At 37.4% G+C, this 27,370-nt stretch overlaps 1 long non-coding RNA gene across 1 annotated transcript in view; it reads left to right on the top strand.

The window, feature by feature from the left end:
• LOC105378983 (uncharacterized) overlaps positions 1-27,159 on the top strand; it is a 32,196-nt gene extending 5,037 nt beyond the window's left edge. Inside the window, exons 3-4 of the long non-coding RNA XR_948350.2 lie at positions 15,940-16,003; positions 25,423-27,159. This is a non-coding gene — a long non-coding RNA (uncharacterized LOC105378983). The remainder of the gene's footprint in view (positions 1-15,939; positions 16,004-25,422) is intronic.
• The last annotated feature ends 211 nt before the right edge of the window (positions 27,160-27,370 follow it).

Raw genomic sequence — 27,370 nt, 5'->3', positions numbered from 1 at the left:
ATGATATCCCATGTCTATTTTAGATGCTCATCCGCCTCCTTTTATATGATTAGAATTCATCCAACTCAAAATGCAATAAATGGACCCTTGGGTTTCACTTCTAACTCTTCCATTAGTTCAGGAGTAAACTTTGTCAAGATATTTGACCTCCCTGGGATTATTAGAACCAGTTACCTGATGTTCTCCAGATTTGCTCACTCCATCTTACCTTTAGTTAGTGGGCAGAGTTCTTTCTATAAACCACATACAGAGCTAGCTAGTTATCTTAGGCTGGGTTCCCCAAGAAAGCAGACTGTGAGACAAGAACTCGAGTCTTAGTGGTTCATTTGGGAGGTAATTCCCAAGAAGTGCTGATAGGGAAGTAGAGAAATGAGACAGGCAAGATCAAGAAGTCAGTATAGAGTTGCATTCATGAGGAAATTAACACTGCAGATAACTGGGGCTCAATCTATCTGGGGACTTCTGAGAGACTGTATAGAACATGAACTGTCCCATCAGAGGAGGGAGGAAGTTGGTCATTTTTTCTCCAGTTCCCTTCACAGTCATTGGCTGAAGGCTACTGTTGGAACAGCAACTCCCTCACCCTCTGGCCTGCCATGCATACTGGCCAAGCATGTCAGAGATATCATGCAGTGATGTGTCACAGGTGCCTGCACAAGAAAGCCATTGACACACATGGAGAGAGTGAGTACAGAGGAGACATGGTGGAGTCCTGACAGCATATGCTACAATACAGTGGCTGACATGGGGAGGCACTGCTCAGATGCCCCTTAGAGACCAGATAGCTGCTCAGCTAAAGGATGGTTAGCTAACAGCCTCCAACTGTTAGTGCTTCAGAATCCTCCTCAGGTTTGGAGCTGAGGTGCTGCTATCCTTGGGGCATCCCCCAGCCAATGATTGAGCAAGGCAGGGGTATAAGGGCTTGTCTATTTCTGCTCAAAGAAAGATTCCAATAGGCAATCTTTACTCCATGGCTCCCTATGGCAAAGAATTTCTTAGGTACATCTCAGCCTGACAGATCTCTACCTAGTCCAGCTTCATGCCCTTTCTCAGGGTTACTACCTAGTAAACCTTTTGCCACCTTAACTCCATCTTGATTGGCATCTGCTTCCTGGAGAGCTCAACATGCAACAAATACCAATTCTAAAGGAAGGTTTGGAAAATGTCAGTCTCTGGGCTTAAAGAAAGATCTACCTTACATAGGTCAACAGGCAAGTTGGACTGAAATTTTCCTTTCTATAGTAGGAATAGATAACACAAAGGCGCCTCTGTATCATTGGAAGTCAGCCAGACAAAAACACAATCAATGAAAACAGTATGGAAAATACATTGAACTTATGGAATAAATGGTGGATCTACACTGGAGGTTTGTTAGACATTGAATAAATACTTGAGGGGGTTGATGGAATTTTCTTTCTTTCTTTCTTTCTTTCTTTCTTTCTTTCTTTCTCTTTCTTTCTTTCTTTTTCTTTCTTTTCTTTCTTTCTTTCTCTCCCTTCCTCCTTTCCTTTCCTTTCCTTTGCTTTCCTTTCCTTTCCTTTCCCTTCCCTTCCCTTCCTTTCTTTCTTTCTTTTTCTTTCTTTCTTCTTCTTTCTCTCTCTCTCCCTCCCTTCTTTCTTTCTCTTTCTTTCTTCTTTCTTTCTCTCTCTCTCTTTCTTTCTTTCTTTTCTTTTCTTTTCTTTTCTTTTCTTTTCTTTTCTTTTCTTTTCTTTTCTTTTCTTTTCTTTTTTTGGTTTTTGAGACAAAGTCTCACTTTGTCGCCCAGGCTGGAGTGCAGTGGCACCATCTCGGCTCACTACAACAGCTGCCTCCCGGGTTCAAGCAATTCTCGTGCCTCAGCCTCCCAAGTAGCTAGGATTATAGGCGCCAGCCACCACGCCCAGATAATTTTTGTATTTTTAATAGACACGGGGTTTTACCGTGTTGGCCAGGCTGGTCTCAAACTCCTGGCTTCAGGTGATCCACATGCCTCAGCCTCCCAAACTGCTGGGATTACAGGCATGAGCCACCACGACTGGCCTGGAATTTCTTTCTTTAAGCACATTTTAAAGAATGGATTACTTATTCCATTGAGGCAGTGGTCATCTTCAAAAGTTTTATTACAAATAATATATTTTTTAAAAATCTTGCAGATGACCGTACCTCTTAAAGAAAATAGCAGAAGCATTCAGGACTCAATTGCATTAGTCATTGAATTTATCCACTTGGCAGTATAATAGGGTGAAAGCTTGAGCAATAATCTGTATTTAGATTTAGCTGCTTAAAGGGGAGGAAAGGGAAGTAATATGTTTGAGAGCTTATTATATGCAAGGGACTCTAGCAGCTTCTTTTATTTATTCACTCACCATATTTTTTTTGAACATGCACTCTTTTCCAGGCACAGTTCTAGGTACTGGAATATATCAGTGAATGAACATACTATAATTTCCTACCATCATAGATTTTATATTCTAGGGGGAGAAAATAGACAATAAATATGAAAATAAAATAAATATATGATAAAAATCTTGAAGGCAATACATAATGTGCACAAAGTGAAAAGAATAGGAAAGTAGTAGTTCAAGGTAGGGGTTGGGTTAAAATTTAAATAAGGTGGACATGATAGGCTTCATCGAGAAGATGACATTTGGGCAAAGACTTCAATAAGATGAAGGAATTAACTATGTGGATAATTACAGAAAGAGGAATCCAAGCATAGGGAATACAGAATTTAGAGACCTTTGATCCTAAAGCATGTCAGAGGAACAAAAAAAGAAATCAGTGAGGAAATAGAGGCTTTCATAAAAATTAAATTGCATTTTCAACTTTCATAGCCAGTGACCTTAGGTGCTCATTCAAATCTATCTGCCTTCAAAATCCACCCTCTTCTTGATCCTGGCTATAGCATTTTATAAATTGGAGAAAAATCACCTCCATTTTCATCTTGCTAGAGATGATTCCTTTCTTTTATAACCATCAACTAGATGGAGTTTGATAAGATAATTGCCTAGCTACAATCTATGCTCACATCTACAGATGTAAATGTACATTTTCTTTGCTCTATCAGAATATTCATAAATACATTGAGACAGATTAAAAAAATGGAGCTTAAGAGGCATCATCTGCAATCACATTGCATCTGTGGTTTTACCTATTTGATATTTTTTCCCCCAGAACACTCATTAAATGGTAAATTGTAAGCATGACTTAAGCAGGTGTCTAGGAAACCAAACAACTGGCCTGAAAGTCAGCTTCACTGAACCCACTGGAAAGCCTGACCAGCTGTTTTGGCATTGTGGAGACTAGCCTAAATTATCTGCTTTAAGGCCAATCTTCTTGTGACCATCTCAGACCAATCTTCTTGTGACCATCTCAGCCCAGGCCATTTATTTGAAGTGATGTATTTCATGATTGCCCCCAATGAATAAGGGTTTATGCTTTTCATAGAAACCGATTGCAATGACTTTAACTAGAAACTAGTAACATCTCAGCTTTCTTGTTCAGAAGTGTTCAAATGACACACATTTCCCAACATAATTAAAAATATACTGGTTGACCATCCTTGCTTGAGCAGAATTTTTATTGCAAACTGGAGAGCTCCACATCCCCATAGAAAACCCACCATTTAAATATCTTTGATCTTTTTAACCATTAGTCAAAATTCTTTTTTCCTCTCAAGGACTCCAGAATGCAATCTCTCCTAAAGAACATCCCTGGAATTAGGAATGTATTAAATTGAGATTGTTAGCATCCCTTGCTGTGAGAATAAAGCTGAAAAGCATCTAGTTATGATATGCATCTTATATAACAGGTACAATGGATTTTTTAAAATGAGATTCATTTTATGCACAAAGTAAAATTTTTGGAGTCTCTTACAAAATAGGCACTGTGTACTTTGAAATTGCATTATGTAACCTATGGAACAAATATAAGACATATTACATTTCCAAAGCACCTTTTCCCCAGGAGTTTCAAATGTGCTAATGATATGAACTCATTAATCTTCCTACTCACCTTTTAGTAGTTAAGGGTCAGATGTTATTTTCCTGATTTCACAGACAAGGACTCAGCCTCAACCTCTGGATGTTCAATGAGACAGAGGTGTCTAGAAATTAAAGCTCTACATCACACATACTGCTTTCTCTGGGTTTAAGCAGCTATCTGTCTCCTTCATCTTCCAACATTATAACTTTTTTTGTCTTTTGAAAAGCATGCAAATTCACACACATACATATACACTTTTTTCCATGACTATAAAATATGAATTTGCAGTGGAGGTTACTCTTGTGCTAAAACAAAATTGTTTTGCAAAAATGAATGGAAGTCATTTTTACTCTCAGTTTTTCAAAAAAAAAATGATAACTTGATAATATCTAATGATGGTCATAGTTTTGGATAATGGGCACACTGATGCATTATGGATGAGGAAATGAATCACTACAAAATTTTTGGAAGGTTAACTGGAAATTCATATTAAAATAAATATATTTCCATGTTTTTGCTTTGGGGATATATTCTATTCTACACAGAGGAAAGCATCAGTATGTAGCATCCATATATACAAACATGTTAATTTCAGCATTATTATTATTATTATTATTATTATTATTTGAGATGGAGTCTCACACTGTCACCCAGGCTGGAGTGCAATGGCGTGATATTGGCTCAATGCAACCTCCGCCTCCTCGGTTCAAGCGATTCTCCTGCCTCAGCCTCCCGAGTAGCTGGGATTACAGGTGCCTGCCACTATGCCCGGCTAATTTTTTGTATTTTTAGTAGAGATGGGGTTTCACTATGTTTGCCAGGCTGGTCTCGAACTCCTGACCTCGTGATCCACCCACCTAGGAGTCCCAAAGTGCTGGGATTACTGGAGTGAGCCACTGTGCCCGGCCTCAGCATTATTTATAATTCCCGTGGGCAAACAAACAAACCAAAAACACCTAGGAAAAATGTAAATGATCATCAATGATTACATGAATGAATAATTTCTAGTTTATTCATTCTATGCAGACAATTACGTAACCCTTAAAGGAACAAATTCCTTCTGTAAATATTTACCTGGAGGGATAGCCACGTAAAGTAAATTCAGGGTTCAAATGGAAGATAATATGAAGCTGAGTAGAAGAGCAGGTGCCAGGGAGATTTGGGACTTTATTTTGGTCAGCTTCTCCGTGTGAGTATGTATTATTTTTGAAACTTGAAATAAATATCTAACAAAAAACATTTTTAAGGGATCAAGTAAACAAACAAACAAACAAAATAAACAGGAGACTCATACAGCATGATGAAGTAGAAGCATGGGGTTTTGGAGACAGCCAGATTGAGTTAATAACTGCAGTTTCCTCATGTAAAATAGAAATAATACCTACCTCTACACAAAGCACAAGGCACACTTGTGCTTGGCAGTCAGTAGGCAGAAACCAAATGTCGCTGGTGTTACTGGAGGAAGAAAGTTTTCCAGGTGGGAGTAGAAAGAAACAGGGGATATAGGATGGGCAGGATGGGAAGCAGATTTTCCTTAAAATCTCCAGATCAATTCACAGAATTAGAAATTTGGAACTGTGGTACCAGAATGGAGCATGCTGAGACATACTTATGCACAATATTTGAACCACTGTTCTTCTCTCAGTAACCCTAGAATTTCAGGCTAGCAGCTGAGAGAAACTGATGGACTCTACTTCCAAAGGTTCCGTTATTCATCAGCTCTGAGAACCAAGTGCAAACTGTTGATGTCTCTGAAATTCAAGACTCTCATTGAAAGATTTTTCAGTTTGTGACTTGGAAAGGAGGGCCAATTGTGATGCTTCTAGGGTTACAATGCAAATCAGAAAGCAGAGAAGAAAGAGAGTGGGGAATAACAGAAATGTTTCAATTGGGCAAATATCCCTGTCAAGCATCAGGTAGGTAAATTACTGCTGGAAGGAATTCATTCTAACCCAGCTGTGCTCTGTCTTGATGGCTTATGGTTTTATTCTCAAAAGCAATTAACCTCAAGATAAAACACAGGGCAGAGGTAAAACCAAAGTTGTGCATAAAAAATGCACTGGTGATCTCAACTCAGAACTAGAAGGAACCGATCTGGAACGATCAGCCAATCAGGCTCAGGACTACTAGGAGGCAACCCAAGAATTGCCAGCAACTACCAGGAGAAAGAAGAGAGAAGAAAGGACCCTCCCCTAGAGGCTTCAGAGACAGGAAGACACTGCCAAAACTTGATCAAATGTCTAGCCTCCAGAATTGTAAAAGAATACATTGCTGTTGTTATAAGCCACCCAGTGTGTGGGGTTTTGTTAGGGCAGCTTTAAGAAATTAATACACATTTTAATCTAGGAGTTAAAAAAACAAATCTAGCTGTGACCTCCTTCTTTCAGAGGTAAACTTTAGGACTTAAAATTGGAGAGCCTGGTTATTGGTTAAGAAAATAAAGTTTTCTCTATCTTATTATAGACAGGACATGCATGTCATTATTCTAAAACTTACTGCACAGAGGAGGTGGGAGAATAGATGATATCATATATTTATATCCCTGTCTTATCGGTGCTAGTTTGTCAAGCTCTGGCAGGGAATTTTTTCAATTCATTAACTTACATATTTATATATTTAAATATTAAAGATCACAAGATAAACTTGCAGCAAGAATCTGGTAATTCTCCCTAATTGAATCTGGTGTCCTGTACAGTTCTATTGGCCTTCTTCTGGGTGAGCCATGGAGGTTTCCTGTCTGAGGCAGTTCTGTGGCAGAATGCATCTGGCTCATTTTAAAGTTCTCACCATTATTTGCAGATAGCTTTTTGTCTTTCTTTCAGCACACACTCAAAGTACTTTTTGTAAATAGTCTTGCAGATATTTTGCTTTCCTTCAACATATTCTGCAAAATACTGCATCTTGTTCTACTTGCTTATCTAGATGATAGCATTTTAATCTTTTCTTAAACTTGATCCTCACAGGAGCATAAATACCGTGTTTTCTTTGCCTAATGCATTATTTCTCACTATTTGCAGTTAGATTCTGTCTTTGGTAGACAGAATGCATCAAGCGACATCATGGTACTTCCTGTGTAACACATTAAATACTCTTTAGCATCCTCAGCTCAATTCATGTCTATTATACCTGTAGCAAAAGACAATCTGGATTTAGTTAACCCATCTGCCATCTTCCACTGTAGCAAATAAATAGAAAAACTGTTTATTTTCATGAAATTATCTCATATTTTGAATGACCCTTATATTTCACATGGAGGCTGTTATTTCTGCATAATTTGTTGATGTGATTAGTGCTTTGAATTCCTTTAGTTTATCATGAAATAATGTTTCAGTTAAAGTGCAAACTATTATTTATTCCAATAGAAACACCTGCAGACACAAGCTAACATGCGATCCATGAATACGGCAGTGAAATGTAACAAATTCCTGGTATCAACAGGGTTATCAGTCACCCTAATTCATAGGCGAAAATGCATTATTATTTACATTCTAAACCTGGAAAAATTTTCATTAGCAAATTTCTGTTTTTCCACTTATTGTATAGAATTCTGTCAGCATGCCCTTTTGCCAAATAAAATGGAACTATTATTACAAATTACTTGAGGTAAAAAAGATTTGCTCTTTGGGAGAAACAGCATTTATGCTTTTAAAAAGCAGAGCTATTTAGTAAAACTGATTTGTTTAACATCTGTTTGTGTAGAATTTATAACATAACCATAAGGTCTAAATATTTAAAGCAATATTGGACAAAAAAGTGGTCAGGGACCAGAATTAATTAGGGAAGACTTACTTAAACAGAACTGAACCCAGGTTTGACGGAAGTAATAAAGTAGATTGGCAGGGAGGAAAGACATCTAGGAAAAAGGAGACCAGAAGTTTTAGCTTAACTCTAATACATTAATAAGTCTGCTCTCTGGTAACTCACATAACCTATCTGGGCCCCTGCTTCCCATTGAAAAAATACATTGGCTGGAGTTCATGACTCCCACAGTTTAAATCTGTTAATATTCTATAAAGAATGGTAGAAAGACAAAAGTGGCAAAAAATGATGTTATTGGAGCAGAATTTATTATCCATTCTAAGTTACTTTCTTGAAGACAGAGAGAAAGGTACACATTTTTGTTGGTAGGGTTTGAATATTTATTTAATAATATTATAGCTATTTTATTGCATCAACTTAGCTAAGCTTTTTTATAATTTCCCCTTCTCTGTGGTTCTGGGTAAGGGTCAGCCACAAGATAAATTAGTGGGAGATTTGGAAGGAGGAAGGCAGAAGTGAAGCAGCTGTCATTGGAACCGGAAGGTCTATGTAGGGCACCAGGTGCTGCTGCTGATTTGCTGACCACTGATTGTCTTGGGGTAGGGGCAGTCTCTGCTGACTGATCTTCTATAGCATCTCTGAGTCCCAAGCCACTATGTGGAAAAGGTAAAGAAGACACATTTTTCAAATAAAAGCACAGGATGCCCAAGAAAATAGAATTTAAGATAAACAAATAATTTTTTAGTGTGTGTCTAGGCAATATTTGGGACATAATTATACTAAAATTAGTTGTTGTTTATCTTAAATTGAAATTAAATTAGGTGTGCTTGTCTGGCAATTCCCAAAGGTGTCAACTTCTGTGGATCCACCACACTCATTGTTGAAACTCAGGTCAGCGAGAACTGAGTATAGATTTCAGTTTGCTTTTGTAGGTCCTATTAGTCTTCACTCTTTCCCACTTCATATTTACATTGGCTTCCTGCTAGCTCTGCTAACCTACAGTGACTTCCAGAAACAGGAATAAGCACTTTCCATATACTTGTTCACAAGCTCTCCAACTAGACTGTGATCCTCGGCATCAAGGCTAAAAATCAGAATTTGTGGATCTCTCTTTTCCTAGCACGTATGTTAGTTTCCCAGGGCTGCTATAATAAACTACCACAAACTGGGTGACTTAAAACAACAGTCCTGGAGCCTAGAAGTCTGAAATCAAGGTGCTGGCCGGGCTGTGCTCCATCAGAAGGCTTTAGGAAAGAATTTTTCTTTACCATTCTAGCTTCCTTGGCTTGTAGCTCTGTAACTCCAATCTCTGTGTCTTCTCATGGCCTTCTCCTTTATACCTCTGCCTTTTCCTGTCTGTCTCTTGTAAGGTAACTAGTTATTATGTTTAGGGCCTACTTTTGTAATCCAGGATGATCTCACCTCAAAATAATGAATTATATCTGTAAAATTCCATTTTGCAAATAAAATCACATTCACAGGTTTCAGGGGTTAAAACATGGACGTATCTTTTGGGGATCACCATTCAATCCACTACAGCATCTAACATAAGTTTAGTCCTCAATAAATGTATGTTGATTTCATGCTTGAAATTACACTTTCTCTCCCTTTGCTGAAAACTTGCTGCCATTTTGGAAGGAGCTTTTAACTGGAAACTTAGTTTCTATATGAATTTGCAAGTCAGGATTATCAGGTTTTTTTGTTTTGTTTTATTTTTGAGACAGGGTCTCACTCTGTTGCCCAGGCTGGAGTGCAGTGGTGCCATCTCAGCTCATTGGAACTCTGCCTCTTGGGCTCAAGTGATAGCCTCAGCCTACTGAGTAGCTGGGACTATAGGCACGGACCACCATGCCTCACTAATTTTTGCATTTTTGTTGTTGTTGTTGTTGGTAGAGATGGGGTTTCACCATGTTGCCCAGGCTGGTCTCCAACTCCTGGGCTCAAGCAATCCTCCCACTTTGGCCTCTCAAAGTGCTGGGATCACAGCCATGAGCTGCCTTGCTTAGCCAAGGTTGTCAGTTTTGAAATTCTATTTTCTCACCTAAAAAAGGAAAAAGCTTTACATTTTTCATTTAGTTTTATGAGAAATACGACTACAAAATAATAAATAGTAGTGCTAGATCATCATTCTAACTTTTATAGCCTTCTCATATTTAATCCCAGTGACCCCCCTTACTGACAATGGAGTATTTCATAGATGCAGCTGTATTTTCTTCCCCACTCCCTTGCTACATATATACCTCATGTGAACTAAGAGGACCTCTGGAAAGATAATTGTGGCACTACAGTCAACACATGGGGGAGAGTAGGAGGGCCCAAATGTGAAGCAACTTAGGTTGTTTCCAAGAACAACTAAAATTGAAAATCTTTCACATTTTCAGTTGAATTTACTTAATGATCTGTTAAGTAGATGGGGAGGTAGGATCCCAATACTAGCTTGTCCTTTATCTCTCTTCTTTTCTTTTTTTTTTCCCATGGTAGGAGGAAATGCCCTGAATACCGTAAATCCAAAATTTGAAATTCTGACATGCATGAATTTTTAATACTGCTTTTTGTTATTCCCTCTATGTCTGTCAAACATGACAGTATATTGCATCTTTTAAAGAGTACTGAATGGAAGTGGCTCCTGTGTAGCATGCCAACTTCAAGATGGGAGATCTTGGTTTCTAGACTGGCTCTTCTACATTTTCACATAGGATGTTAAGTATGTCATTTAAATTGTTTGAGCTTTGATTTCCTCATCCGTTAATGGATAGTAATCAATACTTCATAGAGTTGGAATGAGAGATAACAAGATACCATATGTGTAGTAGGTGCCCACTGTGTGATGACTGAAATCTCCACCCTGTAGGTCACATATATGCAAAATTCTGCTATGCACAATTGCAATGAATGATGCAGTACCCAGTCACTGACACATTCCCATTGTTTGAACAGAAATGCTCAATGCTACTTTGGCAGAGATTTATCAGAAATTGTTTGCAAATTTGTTTTGAAGTACAAGTCTGTTACTATGGTTTTCTGGTAAAGTCTCCCACTTCTGCTTTCTCTAGGTATGCAAGAATCAGAGACTTCATTTTTCTTCTCCAAGCCCCCAAATGTACAAATCCATCTTCATGAGTTTACTGTACCAAAACCCGGGTGTTTTAACTAATCAATTATATTTTTAACCTCTCCTAACCTCAAAGGCATTGAGGGATTACTGGAAAGCACTGCTTCTTCTCTGGGAGTAAACACAATAGCACCATCTGAAGAGAATTGCCTGCACTAGAGTTCCTCGAGCTCTGGTTTCCCTGGGGTTCTCACGCAGGTCCTCTAAGGGCCCAGCCCTCTCCCTGATTTGATGAGTCTGCTGGAAGTCTTCTGCATTGCCCTCTGCATTGACTGACTTTCCAGACTTCTCATTCCATCCTGTTGTTCCTATTCCCACATCCTAATGCATGAGTCCATCAGATACAAAATGACTGCTCTCGCAGAATGGCAGGGGAAGTGGTTCATGATCATCATCCATATAATCCATGTCTCCTCACTTCACATCCTAGCACAGGACACTGCTGACCCCCAGGGGTGGGCTAATGAATGCTAGCTAACACTGTGCCCACTCTACATGTGGATGTGGCCTTAAACTCTTTAAATCTCCTTCTCTCTGAATTCACCCATGGCTTCTCATTGCTGTCCCTTGTCCTGAAAGGTAAAGAATGAGAAAGGTAAAGACACTTCCCGAGACACTACGGATGGGAGTGGTGAAGGGACAGGTGAAGGGAAGGCAATGCTAAATTATGGCTTTAACATTGCCTTTTAAGGCTGGCTCACAATTGGCTGAGGTCCCGAGGAAGAAGCTCCCAGTTTCTGATTTCTACATGCTGCATAGGTCCATCTAATCCTGCCGCTTCTTGGCTTCTTTTCTAAACCTCACTGGCTGTCTCGGCTTTGCTGCTGTGTCAGTCCATCAGAGCACAGTAATGACTGCTAATGGGCGAGGGCATGGAAGATGCCAACAACAACAAGAAAAAAATCACTTCCAATTGACAAAGCACCTTTTAAGGGCCTCAGCACATTCTGCATGAATCACCTCATTTATCTTTACCACATCCCTGGTGACAGGAGGGGAATTGCAATTATATAATTCTACTTTATAAAAGATTCAATCACAATGTAGAAGCTGTGACTTGCCCTAGACAGTACATTTCAGGAATAGAATCTACACATTCTGTTTATTATTTCTGTGTATTAGATATCTTCTTAGTGGAGACTGGAGATAGCAACTACCTCAGAGACATTGCTGTTTGGTTCTAGACCATCACAATAAAGTAAATATTGCAATGAAGCCAGCCACACATTTTTTTTGTTTTCCAGTGCATATAAAAGTTATGTTTACACTATACTACAGTCTAATAATGTGCAATAACATTATTTCTGAAAAACAATGTACGTACCTTAATTTAAAAATACTTTATTGCTAAAAAATGTTAATGATCATCTGAGCCTTCAGTGAGTCATAATGTTTTTGCTGGTGGAGGGTCTTGTCTCGACAGCAATAGCTGTTGACAAATCAGGGTGGGGGTTGTTGAAGGTTGGGGTGGCTGTGGCAATTTCTTAAAATAAGACAACAATGAAGTTTGCCATATCATCTGGCTCTTCCTTTCATTAAATACTTTTCTGTAGCATGTGATGCTATTTGATTGCATTTGACCCATAGTAGAATGTCTTTCAAATTGAAGTCTATCCTCTCAAACCCTGCTGCTGCTTTATCAACTAAGTTTATGTAATATTCTAAATCATTCATTATCATTTCAACAATGTTCATGGCATCTTCACCAGGAATAAATTCTATCTCAATAAATCACTTTCTTTGCTCATCCATAAGAAGCAACTCCACATCTGTTAAAGTTTAATTATGAGATAGCAGCAATTCAGTCGCTTCTCCAGATTCCACTTCTAATTCTAGTTCTTTTGCTATTTCTGCCACATCTACAGTTATTCCTTCACTGAAGTCTTCAATCCCTCAAAGTCATTCATGAGCGTTCAAATCAATTTCTTAAAAGCTCCTGTTAATGTTGATATTTTGACCTCTTTCCATGAATTATGAATGTTCTTAATAGCATCTAGAATGATGACTCTTTTCCAGAAGGTTTTCAACTTACTTTGCTCAGATCCATCAAAGGAGTCACTATCTATGGCAGCTATATGCTTATAAAATGTACTTCTTAAATAATAAGACTTGAAATTCAAAATTACTCCTTGATCCATGGGCTGCAGAATGGACGTTGTGTTAGCAGGCATGAAAACAACATTAATCTCCTTGTACATCTCCATCAGAGCTCATGGGTGACCAGGTGCATTGTCAATAAGCAGTAATATTTTGAAAGTAATCTTTTTTCTAAGAAGCAGGTCTCAACAGTGTGCTAAAAATATTCTGTAAGCCATACTGCAAACAGATGTGCTTTCATCCAGACTTTGTGTTTCCATTTATAGACCACAGGCAGAGAAGATCTTGCATAATTCTGAAGGGCCCTAGGATTTTGGGAATGGTAAATAAGCATTGACTGAAAGTCACCAGCTGTGTTAGTTCCTGGTAAGAGAGCCAGTCTCTCCTTTGCAGCTTTGAAGGTAGGCATTGTAGTTCCCGGCAAGAAAGTCAGCCTCTCCTTTGCAGCTTTGAAGCTAGGCATTGACTTTTCCCCAGCTAGGAAAGTTGAAGATAATTTCTTCCAATATAAGGCTGTTTTCTCTACATTGAAAATCCATCAATATTATTGATGAATATTTAACAAATATTTATTGATTGCTCCCATTACAAGCAGCTGCATTAGAATGTTCAAACCAATCATTAGAGAGAGGAAATATTTTGGTGCCCAAAGGATGCAGTAAGTAGGAGTACTCCTTTGGTCAGAAAAGCACTTAGAATAATTCTCATACTTCTAGATCATTATTTGTGTGCTCCAACATCTACAAATGAATTTCACAAACCCTGCCACCAAATTATATGCAGACATGAATATGGGAAGAGTGTTTACAACTTTATTTTAGATTCTTCCATGTTTCTATAATTTCCAAAGGTTAGGAACTGCATTCTTAGGATGTTGTCTTTTAAATGTTATTCTTATCTGGCCATGTTGGCTGTTATTTATGAACCAAAGCTTTTCAAGAAGTAGTGGTAAGTAGCTTGGGGGTGAGGTAGAGATTTGGGTCACTAGATGCAGATACTGACAATAGCAAGAAGAATATGGCATGGCATGATAGCATGGGAGAAGAAGAAGAAATCTAAAAAGCAGACCTAAAAACTTTAAAACACTCTAGTCTGGCACATTTCAGATAGGGGTAAGTGGCCTTCTATACCTCAATAGCTCATCACGATGTTACTGTCTGCCAGCACTGAAGAGTCATATATGTTCACAACTATGGCAGAATTTCATCAAGAAAACATGAGATTCTATTTTATATCCTCTTTGGATTGCACATTTTGGAAACAGTTTACCCCAAAATAGTAATAACAATAATAGTTGTGATGCTTAAAGGGGAAAATACCAACAGTCTGGAGTGTTTCTATACTTTTAGCAACACATTTTATTCTAAACCAAACCCTTGGGACAATTGGGATGCCTGAATTCAAGTTTGGTGAGCTGAATAGTTTACTGTGGTTAATAATATAGGTAAAAGTAAAAGTTCAGGAATTTTCTTCATTTTTTTCTATGTTTCAATGATAGCAACACATTGAACAGCTCATGTTTGGTGTTCTTGTTTGAAAATCATGGACTCAGCTTATCATCTTCAAACACATTTGCAATTTGCTTGTTAGCTATGATACCCTCTATTATATGCTTTTCCCTCCTCTTCCCAATTGAGTTATTGCAATGTGATTATAGCCACATGGTCTTTTTCAGCATGGCATAATTTGGTTCTTTATCATCAGAGTCAAATTGTGTTTTGTTATGAGAGGAAGGACATAAGAGGTAGGTGACCTAAGACCGGAAAACGAGGCAGGTTGGTTTCAAGGTTAGCTCAGTTTTCTTGTTCCTTAAATACAGGCATATTCATTTTATTGTGCTTCACTTTACTGTGCTTCACAGATACTGTATTTTTACAAATTGAGGGTTTGTGGCAACCCTGAATCAAGCAAGTCTATCAGCCTTATTTTTCCAATAGCATGTGCTCATGTTGTGTCTTTGTGTCACATTTCTGTAATCCTATCAATATTTCAAATGTTTTCATTATTATAATATGTTTTATGGTGGTCTGTGATCAATGATCTTGGATGTTACTATCATGTTTTGGGGTGCCACAAACTGTGCCCATATATGATGGAGAATTTAATTGATATATGTTGTATGTGTTCTGACAGCTCCACTGATCAGCCATTCCCCTGTCTCTCTCCCTCTTCTCCAGCCTCCCTATTCCCTGATACACAACAGTATTGATATTAAGCTAAATAATAATGTTACAATGGCCTCTCAGTGTTCAAATGAAAGGAAGGGTCACAAATCAACAACTAGAAATGATTAAGTTTAGTGAGAAAGTCATGTTGAAGCCAAGTTAGGTTGAAAGCTAGATCTTTTGTGCCAAACAGCCAAGTTGTGAAAGCAAAGGAAAAATGTTTGAAGGAGATTAAAAATGCTACTCCAGTGGACACGTGACTCAGAAAAAAGCAAGACAGACTCATTGCTGATATGGAGAAAGTTTTAGTACATAGAGGATTAAACCAACCCCGGTATTTCCTTAAGCCCAAGCCTAATCTAGAGCAAAGCTCTAACTCTCTTTAATTTGTGAAGGCTTCAATCAGGAAGCTGCAAAAGAAAAGTTTGAAGGTAGCAGAGTTTTGTTCATGAGGTTAAAGGAAAGAACCCATCTCTATAACATAAAAGTGCAAGGTGAAGCAGCAAGTGTTGATATAGAAGCTGCAGCAAATTGTCTAGATCTACCTAAGAGAACTGTTGAAGGTAGCAACACTAAACAATAATATTACTTGGGATTAGAAAAAAACTTCTGAGATTTTATAAACACAGTAAAAGAATTGTAAATGTCTGAATCTACACTATGGAATGAGAAAAATACACAATCAACTGAATCATGGAACCTATATACTTTATAAATGTAGCATGATTCTTTAATTGGCTTTTGATTCTATTTGAAGCTAAAGTCATTTGTGGCTTGCTCTGGAGTTCCTTCTTCATCTCTCACCCAGATTTGGCTTTGTCTGCCCTTCTACTTTTGGAACAGCCACTTCCTTTAACCAGGCCCAGATTGCTTCCACCAGGAATGCTGAACCTGCAATTGTTTGAAGGTAAGAATTATTATAATTTTGTAGTCTTTGTTATCTGCATTTCCAAGATCTAGAAAATGTCCAGATTTGCTGCATGCCAAAATTTAAGGTCTGCTACCTTATAATGTACTTTCTTCGAACTGCAAAATGACATTATCCCGGGAATGGTACCATTCAACTTGTGTGGCACTGGATATTCTCTGTTTCCATGAGCACCTTGAAAGTTTTGGTTTTTGGTGGGAGAACAGCTTTCTGGATGAATGCAACCTAAAAGTCTTCTCTTTGATGGGAAGAAGTTATAGTTCACATTTCTTCTCTGGCTGTGACCATTTATGCCCACTTTTGTGAAGACTATTTAGGCAGTCAGTGTAAGATAGGTTATGCTGCAGTAATTAATATCTCTCAATCTTCAAAGACTTAAGACCACAAAGGTATTTCTTACTCGTGCTATATGTCCAATGAACAGGAGCAGAAGTACTCCATTTATGGTAGCCATTGAAGTCTCAAGACTTATGAAAGCCCGATCTTCACATATCTTTTCTTGATATTTTCATAGAACTCTCACAATTCACTGGCTAAAGCAAGTCACGTGATTGCGCTCAAATTCAAAGAGGGTGGGTGTTGCAGTTCTACCACATTCTAGGAAGTAAGAGGGCTAGAAGATTTGTGAATAGTCTTAAAGACCGACACAGCTTTATATACAGATTTTCTGATTCTAATTTCAGTTACTCATAGATTTTTAATATTTTGGGTTATTTTCTAAATATGAGAGGTTGCTGGATAATTGGTTTTTTGATAATTGTGCTTTGCTCAAGAATGTCCTGGAGACATATCATCTTTGTTAAAAGATGTCCTTTAAACGTATATCAACTGGGCACTATAACTACTTAGGATCTAACTTCAGTTGACAATATGTCACCTCCTATGAATGAACTTTCCCCTTCAACTTTCTCCACACGAAAAAAGAGATCAGTGGTGGCTCCCTTTCTTTCCCCAGCCTGCCTAACAACTTGACACATTGAAGATTTTATTGATTGCTTTGTAGAGGTTTTCTAATCTTGTAAGTTGCATCTTTTTAAAGGAATCCAGTTATTTGTGGAAACAATTGGAGACTTGGGAGACTTTTCTAATTATAAGATTAAATGAACAATTTCAAGAGACTATGTGGAGGCTGATCAAGGGGCAGGAGGAGGTGATGGCCATATCCAACATGGGTGTGGGCAGTAAAGGTGTGCATTGCCTGAAGAGCATGTAAAAACAATGGTAAACCCACTGAAATGCTGTCAAGTTTTTATTTTCATGGCACACTGACAAATCGAAAAAATGTCAGTGATGAAATGCTCCTCTGGGCCGGAGCCCCCCCATCACCTCCTCCACATGTCACTGACTTAACTATCAACCTCAGTAACCTTAGTGCTTAAAATCTTTTGTTTTAAGAGGAAAAAAATCTGTCACACAATTGTACACAGGATTAATCGCATACTCATGTCACAAAATGTGACACAATCAGGAATCACATTTCTAGTTTAACAAAGGCTTGAACTCACACATGCCCAAGCCCATGGAAAGAGATTAAAATGGAAGGTGAATCCTAGCATAGTATCAAAACCCAATAGGGCTATACCAGAAAACAGAAGATTTAAAGACTCAAGCCAACAGAGATGAACTCTGGAGAAGTTGTCTAACTTTTACCTTCTTATATCTATCTTTTCTTCTTTTTCCTTGAACATATTAAGCAGTTTTAAAAAGTCCCAGTTTGCTAACTCCAATAGCTAGATCATCTGTCTGTCTGCTTTTACTGTCTTTTGCTTCCTCTTTATTAATGGCCATATGGTTTTACTTCTAGGAATATCCGGTAGTTTTAGTTTCTCTCTGCATGTTGTGTTTAAACAAATATCGGAGGCCCTAGATAATCTTATCTTCCACCTGAAAAGATCCTCTCTTTCTTCTGAGAGTCATTTAAGGTGAGGAGGAGAAAGGATTAACTCCTCAATTCTATCAGAGACTGAGTGTGATCCCAGCTGGGCTGTAGTTTGATTAAGACTCAGCCAACTTCCAATCCACCCTGTTCTTAGGGCATGGCCCTCCTGAACTTCTGCATGAAAGTCTGACAGGTCTTTGTCTTCTCAGTCCTGAAAGGCTATAGAAGCTTTGTTCATGCCCTTCAGAGATTATTTTGCTTAGCTCCTGCCCCACATGGCTTTAAATATTTGTTAAATGTCTTGAAGGGAAGACTGACCGTATATTTTCTAAGCACGACTGACTTTGGGAGTTGCATTCCGCTTTTCAGAAGTTTGTGTCCTGGCCTCCCATCTTTTCTTGCAACCTCAGGATTCAGCAAATGTCCCATGGAGAAAACTGGAAGTGCCCTAGAGCTTCCATTGCTTCACCCTAGCCCAGCACTAAAAGCTTTGCTGGTTTTTCTATCCCCACAGCAGAGGTTCTCTGGCTGGGCCATATTTGATCATCAGCCTAACGACACAATAGGCAAAACCTTCTGGGAAACACTTGATAATCAGCTTTCCTCAAAAAGGTTCTCCTCTCTCTGGAATTTTAATTCATTTAGTCTTTGCTGCTGCCACATCATTCAATTACTTTCAAAATGTTATATTTATAATGTATCCAGCTTTTTCTGGCTGTTGCAGCAGGACCATTGACCTGCCTATTCTAATAGCAAGATCGAATCTAAGTACAGTATGTTATAAAGCAAAAGTAGGTGTGACTTTTGCTCTGAAAGCATCAGTGACAGGAATCATATTTGCTAGTATCCAGCTATTAGTCCTTGCTTCCTAAAGATCTTAGAAAATAAATTGTGCCTGTGTCCACATTTATCTAAAATATTATTTAACTATTTTCAATAGGAATCCTTAATCACTAAAATATTTTTTAAATTCTTGGAAATTGAATAAATAACAATATACTTAATTAGAGTAAATAAAAAGATGTTCAATTGTCTGAACAAATATACTTTGACAAACAAAACCTATATAGAAGAAAATAAATGTAGCCTTCAGTTGAAGTTACTGAGTTAAGGAGCACTCTCAGGCAGAATCCATTACTCTTTTAAAGACTGATGAAGTTTTATGAATTTTAGAGTCACAAAGAAAATGGCTCAGTGCTCTCCCACCCAGAAGTATCTTACCTGAAAAGCAATTATGGAACATTCCAGGCAGAGAGCAGAGGCAAAACTGAAAATGACATAACAGGCCCAGTAGACGATGAACAAATTCCTCAAGGAACTGGAGGAAGTGGAAAAGAAAGTTGTGATTTTAAAAATAATAATTTTAGGTTTTTTTTTTTTTTACTATACTTTAAGTTTTAGGGTACATGTGCACAATGTGCAGGTTTGTTACATATATATACACGTGCCATGTTGGTGTGCTGCACCCATTAACTATTTGTTTACCATTAGGTGTATCTCCTAATGCTATCCCTCCCCCCTCCCCCTCCCCCTACCCTACAACAGGCCCCAGTGTCTGATGTTCCCCTTTCTGTGTCCATGTGTTCTCATTGTTCAATTCCCACCTATGAGTGAGAACATGCTGTGTTTGGTTTTTTGTCCGTGTGATAGTTTGCTGAGAATGATGGTTTCCAGCTTCATCCATGTCACTACAAAGGACATGAACTCATCCTTTTTTATGGCTGCATAGTATTCCATGGTGTATATGTGCCACATTTTCTTAATCCAGTCTATCATTGTTGGACATTTGGCTTGGTTCCAAGTCTTTGCTATTGTGAATAGTGCCGCAATAAACATACATGTGCATGTGTCTTTATAGCAGCATGATTTACAATCCTTTGGGTATATACCCAGTAATGGGATGGCTGGGGTCAAATGGTATTTCTAGTTCTAGATCCCTGAGGAGTCACCACACTGTCTTCCACAATGGTAGAACTAGTTTACAGTCCCACCAACAGTGTAAAAGTGTTCCTATTTCTCCACATCCTCTCCAGCACCTGTTGTTTCCTGACTTTTTAATGATCGCCATTCTAACTGGTGTGAGATGGTATCTCATTGTGATTTTGATTTGCATTTCTCTGATGGCCAGTGATGATGAGCATTTTTTCATGTGTCTTTTGGCTGCATAAATGTCTTCTTTTGAGAAGTGTCTGTTCATATCATTTGCCCACTTGTTGATGGGGTTGTTTGTTTTTTCTTGTAAATTTGTTTGAGTTCATTGTAGATTCTGGATATTAGCCCTTTGTCAGATGAGTAGATTGCAAAAATTTTCTCCCATTCTGTAGGTTGCCTGTTCACTCTGATGGTAGTTTCTTTTGCTGTGCAGAAGCTCTTTAGTTTAATTAGATCCCATTTGTCAATTTTGGCTTTTGTTGCCATTGCTTTTGGTGTTTTAGACGTGAAGTCCTTGCCCATGCCTATGTCCTGAATGGTATTGCCTAGGTTTTCTTCTAGGGTTTTTGTGGTTTTAGGTCTAACATTTAAGTCTTTAATCCATCTTGAATTAATTTTTGTATAAGGTGTAAGGAAGGGATCCAGTTTCAGCTTTCTACATATGGCTAGTCAGTTTTCCCATCACCATTTATTAAATAGGGAATCCTTTCCCCATTTCTTGTTTTTCTCAGGTTTGTCAAAGATCAGATAGTTGTAGATATGTGGCATTATTTCTGAGACGGGGTTTCACCATGTTGGCCAGGCTGGTCTCAAACTTCTGACCTCAAGTGATCTGCTCACCTCCGCCTCCCAAAGTGCTGGGTTTACAGGCGTGAGCCACCGCTCCCAAAATTTTAGATTCCTAATAGGACTTATGCAGAGAATTGGTGGTGATATGAAAGTGATTGGGCCACTCCCTAGAAGAATAGCAGAATATGTGGAAGGCAGAGCTAATCAGCATGGGTATTTTGATAAGCATATTCAGTATCTCAATAGCTTGAATTTCTTTTAAACTTGGTAGTTAATATATTTTAAATTGTCAAATATCACTAAAAATTTTGAGATTTTATGCATATTAAAATGCATCTTACAGAGAATAAGACCTATTATTTTAGTTAATATAGAGACTAATCTTATTAATTTTGCAGATGACCAATAGGTAAAATAGAGCAAACTATAAAATTTCTATAAAAAATGAGCCACAGTTCCACTGGTTTATTTCAATTTTATTTGAGTTTTTTAATCTTCTTAACATGATGTCACACTTTTAATCTACCATACAAAAATTTTAATTACTTGTTGTTTAGTTAATAGAAAACACCTGTTTTATTATATCTAATTAGTGCTGCCAACTTAGAGGGCCAATGTATTCAGTAAATAACAACACCAACCAAAAAGTAATGAGCAATTCTTCCCTCACTAGAGTTTAATGAAAGATCAGTCAAATTAGTCTGAATATTTTCTTCTTTTATTTTAACCAACTTTTTGATATATTCAAATTTATAGTAACAGATGACCCTATTAAGAAGCCACAAATAAAGGTGAAAACAATAACCAAGGTAAATTCCTGGTGGAAAAGAGATGATGATTCACTAATTTCACCTTGAAAAGAAAGTGAAATGAATTAACTGTTTTGTTCATGTAACTGGAAAAACATTTACTTCTTGAGCATTCGCCTCTATAAATATGACAAAGAGGTTTATAAAAAAGATTCTTTGACTGACTGCATCATGTATGAAACATATTTTCATCTCTCCCCACAGGATAATGGCCACACAATCTAGAATTGCAAAAAGTGATAAAGCAAAGTAGATATGTGATTAAGAATCAACAGCTTCATGATTTATTCTCAGCATAATAGTGGAGAATAGAAGTTCTGATCATTTGTTTAATAAGTGCAGAACTTATCACCCAAAATACATCATTGTGTAGGGCAATACACTCTGAAGTGGAGTCTGTATGTGACCAAATGGGGCTGCATTTGGGGCAGGGGGAAGAGAACAGTCCGGGTGATTATGATATATCCCAAACAGTAACCCCCAGTTAAGAACCACTGTTCCAGGATATGTTTGTTGTCATTTTAATATTTAAGGATTTTTTTTTTTAAATCTACTAGCCTATTATTTCCAACCCCAATTGCTGGTGAAATCTATATTTTTCTATATTCCATATATCTCAAAAAATTCAAAATTCTTTACTTTCTTCATAAGCAGTCTTTCTTCTCTTCCACTTCATTGAAAGATCCAGAGTGAACGATGAGATAAATGGACTGATTGTCTGTGCTGGTGGGTGAGGGTGGAGAGGGTAGCTTGGGGAATGATTTGTAGTTAGTTGTGCAATAGAAGACTTTTGGCCATGCCTGGTTCACTGCCTAATCTTCAGGGCCTTGGGCAATGTTGGGCATATAAAAGTCACTCAATAATTATTTATTGGATAAATGAATGAACCTTCAGATTCTAAGGCAGGGAAAACATTACTTTCTGAAATAGAATGCATAGATTCAACATAAACTAACTATATTCTCTATTTCAGGCTCTTTTCCTTGTCTGTGTGCTTCCCATGAGAATTATAAATTACAAACGTAGTTTTTGAGACAATTTTGGCAGAGCTCACCGATAAACCTAGGAAAATCTCCTGAAATGTAATCAGAGACTCCCATTCTGAAATATAACCGATAGAAGCTGAAAACGATCTGATTGTTTTATGTAAATGCAAATTGTGTGACACTGGCACTTTGTTATGATTGGTAAAGAATTCTGGACATGCTTGTATTCATTCCCAGGATACTGAGAGCCTATTCTGTGCCTGGCTATGCAAAGCATGGTATTACAAACATGTATGATATAGATCAAGCCCCCACCTCATGGAGCTTAGTCTGGTGAGGGAAATGAACATTAAGCAAATAATCACAAAGTAAATACACAATTTCAAATTGTAAAAAATGCTACAAAAGAAAAAAATTACTTAACAGAGGAAATCATAATGTCAGAAAGGCAAAGGATCATGGAACCTTTGAAACTGATGGGGGTCATTGTGATTGGAGGATGTGGACCCAGGAGAAGAGAGGAAAGAGATGCAAAAGGAGAACTCGGTAGCCAACGTCCTGTCAAAACGAGGGTTCAATAGATATGGAAACAGCATTAGGTGCAAGGCCATGGCACCCCCAGCCACTGACCCTGAGATTGATTGGGTACTTCTTCCTGAGAGAAACTCAAAGGAGATACAAGAATGAAAACAAATTTAGGGAAGGAACACTTTAGTAATTAACAAGACACAGTCAGGGAACTATTTTGCTCAGGGAAATTAAATTCTGCTGACTTAGAACTTAAGCAGATGAAAAAGACTCTCTGTGTATGTTTACCCTTAAAGGACAAGTTTTTAATTTTGCAGATTTTGCCAATGCAATAAAAGAAAAAAAAATACAGTAAAACCAGAGAGAAGAAAACAGAAATGGAGTAGAGAACATTAATCTACTTTGAGGAGGATGACATCCAAGCGTGGGAAGGGTTCTAATCTGCTTCTTTAAAAATCAGCCTTCTTCCTTTATCCCCATATGTTTCTGTGAACTCAATCTGCAAGCAGCCAGGAAAGAAGAGATCAAATGTATGAGCGGGGCAAGGGAAGTACCTGTTTTCATGTGTATTACCCCATTTGTATGATTTGCTCCACAGTTTTGAGAACGTCTTAAAATATCTGAAAAATGCATTGAATAGTAATTGTGAGAAGACACAGTAGGTGAATTGGACAATTATTCTCATGATTAGCAACAAATACTAAGAAGGAGGAAAACAATTATCTAGACATGAAGCTGTCCCCTGTAGAATAATTTACAATGTCCTTCTGCACATTTTGTCACTTCTGTTTGTTTGAGTCTATAATGTGCTTATGAAAGTGTTGTCTGTCTTGGCACACACATCAGAGGAGTCCAGGTAGAACCTAGAAATGTAGTTACCCAAATTAGGTGATGGTCAGCTTAAAAATCACTTTAAATGGCATGCTTATACAGTGACTAAGTTGATGTTTGTGTGTGGCCTTATTCATCTGTTACCATATTTACCCAGTGTGATTTTGGGGGAAAAATGAATGCCCTCCTAGTCAGTCATACTCCTCTTCATCAATATTAGTTCTGATTACTTCAACTGAATTTCTTAATGATTTGATGTTTAATGTTTAAAGCCTAATTGTTTATCAGCTATTGAAAATAATACATGGCTACTAATTAAGATGCTTTAAAATATACCAGTGATTTTTATTTCTTTAAAACAATAACTTAAAACAATAGCTATTAAACTCTAGATAACTAAAATTGGAAATTATTACCCAACAGAAACTCCACACCTGATCTCCAACTGACAGGAGTAGGGCTTTATCAGAATATCTGAGAGGGAGAGACAGAGATTCTGCTCCCTCCATCTCGTTAGCCCCTGCTGAGCCAGAACATGTGATCTGAAGCAGAAATGGAAGGAAAAGCAGTTTTTGCAATGCTATAGAGACAGAGTGCCCTATCCCTACCAGCCTGTAAGTTGGAAGTTCCATGGTGTCACAAAAACTAATTAATACTAAAGTTAGTACTTACTCTTCCTTTCTTATTTTCCCAGGAGGATTACTGTGAATAGGCTTGCCTCCTAGGCCACTCAGAATTTGTATGTTGACAAAATATGTCTCCTTTGGACATGTAAGGAGATATAAAATGTATGCAAAGTCACATCATATTATTTGACTGGGCATTCCATTTTGTCAGTTTATATTTTATACTTTATTATTTTAGGGGCAAACATCTATAAAAACAGGGTTCTGTATTGTCACTCGGGTTTGGTTCATGCTCAGAGTTTTCTTAACAGCATTCCTGTTGTTGTATAACTTTAAAATTAGATGAGAACAAAAATTTCACTCTGAAGCCGGAACAACATGGAACCTGGATTTTGGGTTAAATTGCTTAAAAGAATAATCCCCACTTTCTTTCTTTTTTCTGATGACTATGTTTTGGGGCTACTCCTAAGTCTTGTCCTCTGAGGCCACCAAGCCATGCATATCTAATCCAATAAAATTAGAACGTGAGATTCTCCAAAGATTCCAAGTGTCTTAAGGCACTGAAAATACAGACATGATGTTTTCATATAATTCTACACAGTTATTATTACAAAGTGATTTATTTTAACTTTAGATTAGGGAAAAGAAAATTTGTATGTAATTTAGTTTTAAAATAATATATGTTAAAAATAATTTAAATAATAAATTAAATTGAATCCTTAAAAGAATAATTGCAGATTTGGAAGAAAAAAGCTTTATCCAAGACTGTGGATACTTTAAGGAGTCTGTTAGCTTACTTTCCCTTTACTTTCAATTTGCAATTGTTGGAAACTATACTGGATATCCACCACTAAAACACAATCAGCTCTTGCTTAGATTAAAAATTTCTAAGGCCTTTAGCTTTGATTTCAGTTTTGCAATATGCTGTAACTGCCAGGACAGTGACCCCTGGTGAAGACAAAGGTTTGAGTATCAGATCGCTTGATATGATTAAGCACATTCCTGTTTCATTCCACAGATACCAATATTAAGTCAGACGTGAAACTCCCTTTTGATGCCTATCACTATGCTCTGACTCGCTGCACAACTTAACCTCTTGGTGACTCCAGTTCCTTGTTTGCAAGTGGAGATGAACAGGTCTGCTGTGAGGATTGAATAGAATAATACATGTAAAAGATGCGTTATTTGCTTGATACCCAGCCTGGTACACATGAAGGATTACTAAATAGTTTACATGAACATTATTACTACCTAATTGTTTTTAATTCAGGAAAATGTAGAAGCTACAACATCAGAATATGCTTCTGTAGTAGTACTTTTGCCTCTAGTTCAGTACCCTGTCAACCACCACATGAAGTGGTGTAACAAGACATAATTGAAACACTATTGTAATGAAAGGAACACTAGACATGCAGTCAGAAATCTGGGCTCAATTTCTGAAATGCATGTAGCATTTACCATATGCCAGGTACTGCTGTTAAGTATTTAACATACATTAACCTAAGCTGTCATAACAATCCAGTAAGGTAGGTGCTGTTATTACCCTCATTTTCTGATGAGGACACTGATACAAAAGAAGTTAAGTAACTTGCTCCAAATTATACATATTTGGCAAGCTATGGAGCCAGAATTTGAACCCAGACAGGCAGCTTCCAGTCCATGCTTCATAGCCTTTGGACTCTGTGAGCTTCAGTTTTCCCAACGGCACAATGAGAATAATAATCTTACAGTCATCTCACAGAGTCCTTGCAAGAATTTAATATGATGGTAAATCTAAACTGCCCTGGAACTGAAAAAGACTGTACAAATATAAAGGATTATTGTTATTAAGATTCTTAACCAAAATGCATCACTATCTGTATAAACAATGAGACAGGGTATAGCTGAAGTAATACCACTAAAGATGTGATGTTATAAGCATTCCAAGTGCCAAGTGCCAACAAAAATATTTTTCCCAGTGAACCTCAATATCTCAATGTTATTACCTGAAAGAGAAATTGAAATTATTTATCATTTTTTGAAGGTACTATTTGAACACTTAAAATTGTTTACTCTCTAACTTTTAGAGTTAATATTTTTTCAGAATGTCAAAGAAGCTCTTCTTACATGTTCAGAAGTGACTGTAGCAGGGCATGTTTAAATGGGCATGTAAATGTGAAGTCCTGTCCTATGAATGGTAAACTCACAGAGTGAATTCATTTTGCCTTTTGGGTCAGTGTAATTACCTATTGATTTTTAGGAAAGAAAGAAAAACTGACATTCACAACCTTTGCTCTTTAATTTCTGAACAGAATTACGGCCTAAATGGAAGAATGATGTTGTTTATCTGTTAGCACCTTTCAGAGACAAGGCCAATACTTCAAATTACTTGTGCATAATTGGTGCTCAGTAAACATTTTTGGGTTAAAAGCTTAACCCCATACAGATAGTTCCTGCTCCATTAGACAGATTCATATCACATTCCTAATCAAGCCTCTGATAGGCAATATGCAAAAAAATAGCAACTGTAAACCTTTATATCATTCAAAGTTATAAAATTATAGTCTAAGACATCAGTGGACATCAGCATGCAGCAGTTTTTAAAATTATGTAAGTCTCAATGTGCTGTGAAGTATTAAAAACTATTACCTCAACTGGGCTTGAAATTGCTTCCAGCTAAACAATGAATATTAAATTAAATAATAATGGTTTTTTTGCCTCTTAGAATTTATAAATGCACTGGACTTTGCTTTGGGTAGACCACTTTTTTTTAAAGAAAGAGAGAGGAAAAGAAAAAAGGACAGAAAGGAAGTAAAATAAAACCTGTAAGAATGTTGGAAATAAAATTTCCCCCATATACTGTTGGTAAATATCATTGTACCAAAAAAACACATTGATAAAGACATTGTTGACCTCCAAATTGCATTGCAAAACTCATGCTTTTCAAAATAGTTTTGTAAAAATTTATGAAAATCTTACTAAAGATG

This window comes from Homo sapiens, chromosome 5 (assembly GCF_000001405.40).
Source record: "Homo sapiens chromosome 5, GRCh38.p14 Primary Assembly".
Taxonomy (NCBI): Eukaryota; Metazoa; Chordata; class Mammalia; order Primates; family Hominidae; genus Homo; species Homo sapiens.
Note: the sequence above shows the minus strand (reverse complement) of the source record. Positions and strands in the feature narration are given on the sequence as shown.